The 11,205-nt window shown below is 50.5% G+C and overlaps 1 annotated feature.

The window, feature by feature from the left end:
- Positions 6,539-6,833: an enhancer, noted in NCBI's record as "tiled region #5043; HepG2 Activating non-DNase unmatched - State 23:Low, and K562 Activating DNase matched - State 8:EnhW". NCBI's record gives its function as "activates a minimal TATA promoter and a strong SV40 promoter by Sharpr-MPRA in HepG2 and K562 cells {active_cell/tissue: HepG2 | K562}" and the evidence as "EXISTENCE:reporter gene assay evidence [ECO:0000049][PMID:27701403]".

The following is an 11,205-nucleotide window of genomic DNA, read 5'->3' on the forward strand; positions in this document are numbered from 1 at the left end:
GCCTATCTGCTCTGTACCACCTGCCATGTTGCTGGGGAGTGTTTCATTCAGCAGACAGATTTTCCCTCTAAGCCTAATACGCTTCATTTCTAGAGGCCAGAAGTCACCCCGGCTACCAGAAGCTTGTTCTTCTCTCTTACCTCTAAGAACTTAGTATTTGGGGTGGGGTTGGTCTGGTCTCTAGGGAAACTCTGGAGTTTTCATACAGTGCCTACAAGAGCAGCCCACTCTAGTTATGACCGTGGATCTGAACATCAAGACATCACTATCAAAAATCCAGCCATTGGATTATAAATCATGCTGCTATAAAGACACATGCACACGTATGTTTATTGCGGCACTATTCACAATAGCAAAGACTTGGAACCAACCCAAATGTCCATCAATGATAGACTGGATTAAGAAAATGTGGCACATATACACCATGGAATACTGTGCAGCCATAAAAAAGGATGAGTTCATGTCCTTTGTAGGGACATGGATGAAGCTGGAAACCATCATTCTCAGCAAACTATTGCAAGGACAGAAAACCAAACATCGCATGTTCTCACTCATAGGTGGGAATTGGACAATGAGATCACTTGGACACAGGGTAGGGAACATCACACACTGGGGCCTCTCGTGGGGTGGGGGGAGGGGGGAGGGATAGCATTAGGAGATATACCTAATGTAAATGACAAGTTAATGGGTGCAGCACACCAACATGGCACATGTACATATACGTAACAAACCTGCACGTTGTGCACATGTACCCTAGAACTTAAAGTATATATATATATATATTTAAAAATCCAGCCATCAGGAACAGCTTTGCCATAGTACTTTTGTTCTGAGGAAGGCACTATTCAATGAGGCACTCATGCTCAAGGATGGCCAGGATATTCTGAGAGGTTTTCGTGACATCATGACTCTCAAGGACCTACCCACCTGGGCCTGACTACCACAGTACTCAGGTCTGTGGCCTTTACTGTTAGAGGATGGGCTTCTGCTTGGGAAAGGCCCTGGGTTCCTACCACCTCCTCCCTCTTTCTTCCTAGGGCAGTCTGGTGGCCTTTGAGACATGAAGCAAAGTCACTTGCTTAGAACTGAGGCAGGAGAATAGAGTCTGGAAGCAGGGAACCTAAGGCCATTTCATGCTGACTTCCTAGAACTAAATTGAAAGGAAAGCCCTACCTTTCCACGCCTACGTAACAAAAGAACCAGAGGTTGCTCCCCTTGCAAATCCCCACCTTTCTGTGTGGCAGATGGGAAATTGAAAGTACCTCTGATTGGTTGGAAAAAAAGCAGATGGCAAATTGAAAGTACCTCTGATTGGTCGCTTTTTGCAACCAATCAGACGTTTGCATAGGAGTGTAACTTTGTAACTTCACTTCAACCTCTGATTGGTTGCTATCCTAACCAATCATACGGATTGGGGGCCAAGTCTTCGTTTGTATAGAAGGGCAACTTTCACTCTAGCCTCTGATTGGCTGCTTTCCACAACCAATAAGATGTTTGCATAGGAGTGTGACCTTTGTAACTTCATTTCAGCCTCTGATTGTGGGCTGCAACTTCATGAACATGGGGTGAACACCAAGTGGCCAATGGTAAACCTCTAGCGGGTATTTGGACCCCAGAAGATTGTGTATCAGGGCCCTTGAGCCACTGCTCCGCCCGTTCTCACACTGTGGAGTATACTTTCACTTTCAATAAATCTGTGCATGCTTGCTTCTTTCTTTCCTGTCTTTGCTGTGCGTTTTGTCCAATTCTTTGTTCAAAACGCCAAGAACCTGGACAACTTGCAGTAAAGACCCTCTACTGGTAACAGAACCTGCCCAAATCCAACATGCCTCATGTTTTGGGTAAGAAAGCATTTCATTGTCCCCTGCTTTGACTTACTTGCTAGTTATTTTTTCATGTGAACACACTTTGTCTTCCCAACTATATTGTAAGTGCATCGAGGGTGGGAACCTTGTCTTAAGCCAGTTTTACTTCTCACAATTCCTGCCACCTGCGCACTTTACAGTCACTTAAAAGATACGTGGTGGCCGACTGGGTTCATTCGACAAGCAGAGAATGTCAGCTTTAAGCCTAGGCTTGTGGCTAAGAGGCATCAGCCTTGCTAGGGATTGGTAGGATAAGAGAAAGAAGGGGAAAAAATAAGTAAGGGTAGGGTTGAAAGGGTGAGCATGAGAGTATAAGGGGAGGAGAGGGAAGAAACTGAGAGGGAATGAAAATGAGGCATAGGTGGAAAAGAGTATAATTCAAGGCCCAGGGTGTGGAGTCCCAAGAGAGAGCTCTGTCCTCTCTTCCTTGTGCTGTGATGTAGACTACCCCTATCTAGGGCATCTCCCTGGATTTTCTTCAGTTCAGGAAGAACCTAGGCCAGGCGCGGTGGCTCACGCCTGTAATCCCAGCACTTTGGGAAGCTAAGGTGGGCAGAACACTTGAGGACAGGAGTTCGAGACCAGCCTGACCAACATGGTGAAACCCTGTGTCTACTAAAAATACAAAAATTAGCAGGGTGTGGTGGTGCATGCCTGTAATCCCAGCTACTCAGGAGGCTGAAGCAGGAGAATCGCTTGAATCCGGGAGGGGGAGGTTGCAGTGAGCCAGGATCGTGCCATTGCACTCCAGCCTAGGCGACAAGAGCAAGACTCTGTCTCAAAAGAAAAAAAAAAAAAAAAAAGCAGCAGCAGCAGCTAAGAGAGTGTAGGCCAGGCGCGATGGCTCATGCCTGTAATCCCAGCAGTTTGGGAGGCTGGGGCGGGCGGATCACTTGTGGTCAGGAGTTCGAGACCAATCTGGCCAACATGGTGAAATCCCGTCTCTACTGAAAATACAAAAATTAGCTGGGTGCGGTTGCACACACCTGTAATCCCAGCTACTTGGGAGGCTGAGACAAGAGAATCGCTTGAACCCGGGAGGCAGAGGTTGCAGTGAGCCGAGATCGCACCACTGCACTCCAGCCTGGGCGACACAGTGAGACTCCGACTAAAAAAAAAAAAAAAGTGTGTGGATCTGCAAGACTCTCCAAAGCAGTTCTCTCTAGTGAGCACAACATCCTTGATACAAATTTCCCCCTCCCCTCCACTCCCCACATTCAGGACAAGGGAGGCGCTGGCCCTCTCGCCCCCTGGCGGTCTGTCTAGCTCCCGGCAGCCTCGGAAAGCCCAGGACAGTAGGGCAGTGTACTTGCGACCGACCCCGCCCATCGGCTCCTGGGGAGCTGACAGGACGCACTCCACTTGGCCAGGCCTGTATCAGGCTCTGGCTCTGTCGCCCAGGCTGTAATGCAGTGGTGCGATCATGGCTACTGCAGCCTCGACCTCCCGGGCTCAAGTGATCTTCCATCTCAGCCTCCCAAGTAGCTGAGACCACAGGAGCGCGCCGCCACGCCCGGCTAATTTTTGTTACTGGGGCGGCGCGTATTGGTGCAGTCTCCACGTTCTTTCAGAAGAACGCGGGCGCATCGCTGGACCACGCGCCAGTGGGCAGCCGGCGCAGCCTCCCTGCCCCCCATAGTCCCGATGCTTCCAGAGGCCCATGGCGGGGGTGCGGCGCGGGGGTGGGGAGTCGGGTGGGAGTTATGGCTTCCCAAGCAGCCAAGTCTATTTTCTTCCCGAAGAGGGAGGGGCTGAGCTTGGCAAGGCTCTAGCCAGCTCCTCCCGCTCTGCCCCACCTGCTCCTCCCAGCTCTCCCCTCCATCTCTGCTTCCAAGCCATTTTTCTCCACTCATACCTGCACTAGCATCCGAGCAGGGAGTAGTTTGGAAGAACTTGTCCTCGGCGCTGCATGAGGATTCAAAAGGCCTCTCAACCTAGAGAGCCCTGGAAGCCAAAATTTGTGCGTTTCAGTAAGGGGCTTGGCTGGGGGTAAGAAGTAAAGTTCTGGCCACAGAATTTAAGCTTCTGCTTCAAAGAAGGAGCCTTTCTAATCTGCTGGGAAATCTCTCCAGGTTCCCTCCACGAAAGTATTTTGCCTGCATTTGTCTCCTCTGGGCAGGCAATAAGGAATCCTACTCCCAGCCCGTTGGGGTGGCTTACGCCTGTAATCCTAGCACTTTGGGAGGCTGAGGCAGGAGGATCGCTTGAGGTCAGGAGTTTGAGACCAGCCTGGGTAACATAGTGAGACCTAGTCTCTACAAAAAATTAGCTGACCTTAGTGGTGTGTGCTTGTGGTCTCTGCTACTTGGGAGGCTGAGGCGGGAGGATCAGTTGAGTCCAGGAGGTGGAAGCTGCAGTGAACCGTAATCGCACCACTGCACTCCAGCCTGGGTGACAGAGTGAGACCCTATCTCTCCCCTCCCCCCACCAAAAGAAAAATGTAAACAAAACAAAGGGGAAAAAAACAAATCCTGGCCCTGCGTGGTAGCTCGCACCTGTAATCCCGGCACTTTGGAAGGCTGAGGCTGGCGGATCCCTTGAACTCAGGAGTTCAAGACCAGCCTGGGAAACATAGCAAAAACCCGTCCCCACAAAAAAATACAATAATTAGCTGGGCATGGTGGCGGGCGCCTATAATCCCAGCCACTCAAGAGGCTGAGGCAATAAGATTGAAATTCCATCTCAAAATAAAATTAAAATAAGGCCGGGCGTGGTGGCTCACACCTGTAATCCCAGCACTTTGGAAGGCCGAGGCGGGAGGATCACCTGAGGTCACGAGTTCGAGACCAGCCTGGCCAACATGGTGAAACCCCGTCTCTACTAAAAATACAAAAAATTAGCTGAGCTTGGTGGCGTGTACCTGTGATCTTAGCTATTAGGGAGGCTGAGGCAGGAGAATTGCTTGAACCCGGGAGGAGGAGGTTGCAGTGAGCCGAGATGGCGCCGCTGCACTCCAGCCTGGGTGACAGAGTGAAACTCCATCTCAAACAAAACAAAACAAAACAAAAAAACGAAAAAAGAAAAAAGAAAGAATCCCACTCCCCTTCCCACATCAGGTCCTCACCACCATGTTCTTCTCACCAGTGGCCTCTGGGGTGCCTAGGAGAGGTCTTGCTGTCCTTGCCCACCTAAGCTCGACACGAAGGAAACGGGAGCTCTGCTTTACACAATGCAGCTACTGTGGGGCCTGTTTCTAACCCCCATCCCAGAAGCAGCACAACTCCCCCACCCTGAACCCAGGAGGAGGGCAGGGCTGTGGTTCCTGGCCTGTTGTGGCACCAGAGGGTTAAAGACAGTTGGTGTGATGGGCTTTCTGGGAATCAGACCGGTGAGCAGAACCGAGGGCAGTCACCATCGTCAATCACAGCTCCGGAGCTTATGTGCTCAACAACAACAACATCCACACAAATCCTCTTATTTATTTATTGAGATGGAGTTTTGCTCTTGCCGCCAAGGCTGGAGTGCAATGGCGCGATCCGGCTCACTGCAACCTTTGCCTCCTGGGTTAAAGCGATTCTCCTGTCTCCGCCTCCTGAGTAGCTGGGATTACAGGTGCCCGCCACCATGCCCGGCTAATTTTTGTATTTTCAGTAGAGACGGGGTTTCGCCAAGTTGGCCAGGCTGGTCTGGAACTCCTGACCTCAGGTAATCCGCCCGCCTCGGCCTCCCAAAGTGCTGGGATTAGAGGCATTAGCGACCATGCACGGCCCATACAAATCCTCTTTCAGGCTTGGCTTCCGGGCACTGACCCTACCACATGAGAGCTCAGGACACACTGGTCCCTGGAGTACTGGGCTAATTCTCCCAGCTCAGCAGAGTGGTGGGCTCTTCCCGGTTCCTCTGCTTTTGGAGTCTGTGCTGGTCATTGAGAGGTGACAGCGTGCTGGCAGTCCTCACAGCCCTCGCTCGCTCTCCGCGCCTCCTCTGCCTGGGCTCCCACTTCGGCGGCACTTGAGGAGGCCTTCAGCCCACCACTGCACTGTGGGAGCCCCTTTCTGGGCTGGCCAAGGCAGGAGCCGGCTCCAGGGAGGTGTGGAGGGAGAGGCGCCAGCGGGAACCGGGGCTGCGCGCAGCGCTTGCGGGCCAGCTGGAGTTCCGGGTGGGCGTGGGCTTGGCGGGCCCCGCACTCGGAGCAGCCGGCCGGCCCTGCCGGCCCCGGGCAATGAGGGGTTTAGCACCCGGGCCAGCGGCTGCGGAGAGTGTACTGGGTCCCCCAGCAATGCCGGCCCACCGGCGCTGCGCTGGATTTCTCACTTGGCCTTAGCTGCCTTCCCGCGGGGCAGGGCTCACGACCTGCAACTCGCCATGCCTGAGCCTCCCACCCTCTCCGTGGGCTCCTGTGCGGCCCGAGCCTCTCCGACGAGCGCCGCCCCCTGCTCCACGGCGCTCAGTCCGATCAACCACCCAAGGGCTGAGGAGTGCGGGCGCACGCGCAGGACTGGCAGGCAGCTCCACCTGCAGCCCTGGTGTGGGATCCACTGGGTGAAGCCAGCTGGGCTCCTGTGTCTGGTGGGGAGGTGGAGAACCTTTATGTCTAGCTCAGGGATTGTAAATACACCAATCGGCGCTCTGTATCTAGCTCAAGGTTTGTAAACACACCAATCAGCACCCTGTGTCTAGCTCAGGGTTTGTGAATGCACCAATCGACACTCTGTATCTAGCTACTCTGGTGGGGACTTGGAGAACCTTTGTGTGGACACTCTGTATCTAGCTAATCTGGTGGGGACTTGGAGAACCTTTATGTCTAGCTCAGGGATTGTAAACGCACCAATCAGCGCCCTATCAAAACAGACCACTCGGCCCTACCAATTAGCAGGATGTGGGTGGGGCCAGATAAGAGAATAAAAGCAGGCTGCGGGAGCTAGCAGCAGCAGCAACCTGCTGAGGTTCTCTTCCACAATGTGGAGGTGTTGTTCTTTTGGTCTTTGCAATAAATCCTGCTACCGGCCACTCTTTGGATCCACACTGCCTTTATGAGCTGTAACACTCACTGTGAAGGTCTGTAGCTTCACTCTTGAAGCTTAGCAGGACCACGAGTCCACCGGGAGGAATGAACAACTCCAGACTAGCCGCCTTAAAAGCTGTAACGCTAACTGCGAAGGTCTGCAGCTTCACTCCTGAGCCAGCGAGACCACGAACCCACCAGATGGAAGAAACTCCGAACACATCCGAACATCGGAAGGAACAAACTCCAGACGTGCCACCTTAAAAGCTGTAACACTCACCAAGAGGGTCCGCGGCTTCATTCTTGAAGTCAGACCAAGAACCCACTAATTCCAGGCCCAGTCAGTCTTACCATCATCATGATACGTTAACTAATGTTTATTGAGCATGTACAATGTATCTGTCCTTGTTTTGAGGTCTCTGTTTGAATCACCTAAATTCATCTTTTTACCAACCCTATAAAAAGCCTATTAAGATCCCCATTGTGCACATGAGACTCAGAGAGGTAAAACTATGGAATGAGACCACTGCTTCTCCTGTTGTCCTTCTTAGCTTCTCCCCCACCTCCCCTTTGCCCTAGTTTATGAGACAGGAGAAAAGGGAGAAAGCAAAAAGTTGGAAAGAAACAGAAGTAAGATAAATAGCTAGACGATCCTGGCGCCAGCACCTGGGTGGTGGTTAAAATAATAACACCAGTAGTTTTGGTCAGGGGTTATCTGTGAATTCCAGACATTGTATGAGAAAGCACTGTAAAACCTTTTGTTCTGTTACCTGATGTATGTAGCCCCCAGTCACGTTCCTCACGCTTACTTGATCTATTATGACTCTTTCACGTAGACTCCTTAGAGTTGTAAGGCCTTAAAAGGGCTAGGAATTTCTTTTTCGGGGAGCTCGGCTCTTAAGACGTGAGTCTGCCGACGCTCCCAGACAAATAAAAAACCTCTTCCTTCTTTAATCCGGTGTCTGAGGAGTTTTGTCTGCGACTCATCCTACTACAAAACAACCTGCCTGAAGTCACAGTTACAACGCCAGTATGTGGCAGAGCTCGGATTTGAAACCCTGTACTGTATCTGCATTCAGAGTCTGTGTTGTTTCTTTTTTTTCCTTTGTGACAGAGTTTCGCTCTTGTTGCCTGGGCTGGAGTACAATAGCACAATCTTGGCTCACTGCAACCTCTGCTTCCCAGGTTCAAGCGATTCTCCTGCCTCAGCCTCCCAAGTAGCTGCGATTACAGGCCAGCACCACCATGCCTGGCTAATTTTTGTATTTTTAGAAGAAATGGGTTTTCACCACGTTGGCCAGGTTGGCCTCGAACTCCTGACCTCAGGTGATCCACCCGCCTCAGCCTCCCAAAGTGCTGGGATTACAGGCGTGAGCCACTGTGCCCGGCCCAGAGTCTGTGTTTCTTCTACTAAACCACACTGTCTCCAAAACTCCTCCCTTCCCACCCTCCATTCCCCTGCCTCACCACTCCACCTCCACAGCATGATCTCTGGGTGTGGGACCTCAAAACATGTGATGTCTTCCAGGCAGTGAGCTCAGCATTTCTTCCTGGATAAAGACACTTAACATTGCAGTTTTCTTCCTTTGTTGGGTTTGAAATCCACTGTCTTTTTTTTTTCTTTGAGCCGGAGTTTCGCTCTTTTCGCCCAGGCTGGAGTGCAGTGGCGAGATCTCGGTTCACTGCAACCTCCACATCTCCGGTTCAGGTGATTCTCCTGCCTCTGCCTCCCAAGTAGCTGGGATTACAGGCGCCTGCCACCATGCCCAGCTACTTTTTAGTAGAGACGGGGTTTCACTGTGTTGGCCAGGCTGGACCTGAACCCCTGACCTCAGGTGATCCACCCACCTCAGCCTCCCAAAGTGCTGGGATTACAGGCGTGAGCTACCATGCCTGGCCAATACCACTACTATAAATAATACTATTAATAGAAATGATATCTACGCTGGGCATGGTGGGTCATGCCTGTAATCCCAGCACTTTGAGAGGTGGAGGTGGGAGCCTAGGAGTTCAAGACCAGCCCAGGCAACAAATAGAGACCTTGTCTCAACAAAACAAACAAACAAACAACAAACTGGGTGTAGTGGCACATGCCCGTGGGCCCAGCTACCCAGGAGGTTGAGTTGGGAGGATCACTTGAGCCTGGGAGGTTGAGGCTGCAGTGAGCCTTGATCACACCATTGCACTCCAGGCTGGGAAACATTTTGAGATCCTGTCTCAAAAAAAAAAAAAAAGAAAGAAAGAAAAAGAAAGGCTGGGCACAGTGGCTCACACCTGTAATCCCAGCAGTTTGGGAGGCCAAGGTGGGCGGATCACCTGAGGTCAGGAGTTTGAGACCAAAAATTATTTGGGCGTGGTGGCAGGTGCCTGTAATCCCAGCTACTCAGGAGGCTGAGGCAGGAGAATCGCTTGAACCTGGGAGGCGGAGGTTGCGGTGAGCCGAGATAGTGCCACTGCACTCCAGCCTGGGCAACAAGAGCAAAACTCTGTCTCAAAAAAAAAAAAAAAAAAAAAAAAAAAAAAAAAAAAGAGAGAGAGAGAGAGAGAGAAAGAAAGGCTATCTAATCATTATAGAGAGAGATTATGATGTACCAGGCATTGTTCTTGGTCTTCACATGAATTGCCTGGTTTGATCCCCATAAAATCCCTATTCTGTAGGCATTGTTATTAACCCCATTTTATAGACAAGGGAACTGAGAAAGAAAAATGTTAAATTGTTCCTGAGTGTAAGCTGATAAGCACTATATCTCTTTCATCTTTGATTCATAAAAGACATCTTTGAAAGCTGTAAAAGGAAAATAAAAACTTGGGACCCCAATTCACTCTGCCAAAAGGAAAAAAAATTAAACTGAAAGCTGAGTCATGCAAGAAGCTGCCTTTCCTTTTGTTCCTAAGCAGACAGCTACAAATAACAGGTTAAATATCTCCACCTGTAGCTACTCTATGTTTACCTTATCTTATGTAAAGTGCTGATTTACTGAGCAGGAGACGGATACATAATTGATTCTTCCTCTACCTGCTCTTTTTCTCTTGCAACATGTGGATTCAATCATGTGACCATACCTTCCCTCTCTTCCCTCAAGCTCGCATTTCCCCTTTATTATTATTATTTATTATTATTATTATTGTTATTATTTGAGACGGAGTCTAGCTCTTGTTGCCCAGGTTGGAGTGCAGTGGTGCAATCTTGGCTCACTGCAACCTCTACTTCCCGGGTTCAAGCGATTCTCCTGCCTCAGCCTCCCAAGTAGCTGGGATTACAGGTGCCCCCCACCATGCCCAGCTAATTTTTGTATTTTTGGTAGAGACAGGGTTTCACCATATTGGCCAGGCTGGTCTCCAACTCCTGATCTCAGGTGATCTGCCTGCCTTGGTCTCCCAAAGTGCTGGGATTACAAGCGTGAGCCACTGCACCTGCCCTTGCATTTCTCCTTTAAATACTGAAGCCTAGGCCGGGCGTGATGGCTCAGGCCTGTAATCCCAGCACCATCAGAGGCCGAGGTGCATGGATCGCCTAAGGTCAAGAGTTCGAGACCAGCCTGACCAACATGGTGAAATCCCGTCTCTATTAAAAATACAAACACTAGCTGGGTGTGGTGGCAGGAGCCTGTAATCCCAGCTACTTGGGAGGCTGAGGCAGCAGAATCGCTTGAACCCGGGAGGCAGAGGTGGCAGTGAGCCAAGATCGTGCCATTGCACTCCAGCCTGGGCAACAAGAGTGAAACTCCATCTCAAACAAACAAACTAAAACCTGAAGCCTGGCCAGGTGGGGTGGCTCATGGCTGTAATCCCAGCACTTTGGGAGGCTGGGGCAGGAGGATAGCTTGAGCTCAGGAGTTCGAGACCAGCCTGGGCAACAGAGCGAGACCTTGTCTCTACAAATAATTTAAAAATTGGCCAGGTGTGGTGGTGGCACACCTATAGTCCCAGCTACCTGGGAGGCTGAGGTGGGAGAATCACTTGAGCCCAGGCAGTGGAGGCTGGGGTGAGCCATGACTGTGCCACTGCATTTCAGCCTGGGTGACAGTGAGACCCTGTCTTTAAATAAATAAATAAATACTGAAGCCCTCAAAGTCATCTTTGGAGAAAGGCACAGACCTGTCTCCCAGACACATCCTTAACCTTGGCAAAATAAACTGGTAAATTGAGACCTGTTTCAGATACTTTTTGGTTTGCAAAGCAATGAAGTACACATGGGAAGTCCTAACCTCAGAATTTGGAAATGAAAAAGTAAAAGCTCAGCCAAAGAAGTCAGCTTTGGGTGTGAGTTTGGGACAGTACTTTCTGTACCTCAGTCTGTTCAACTGCAATATGCAAATACTAATACCTCATAATGCTATTGTGAGGAGTAAATGACTTCAGACACTGAAGGCTTAACACAGTGACTGGCATATC

Source organism: Homo sapiens, chromosome X (genome assembly GCF_000001405.40).
Source record: "Homo sapiens chromosome X, GRCh38.p14 Primary Assembly".
Lineage (NCBI taxonomy): Eukaryota > Metazoa > Chordata > Mammalia > Primates > Hominidae > Homo > Homo sapiens.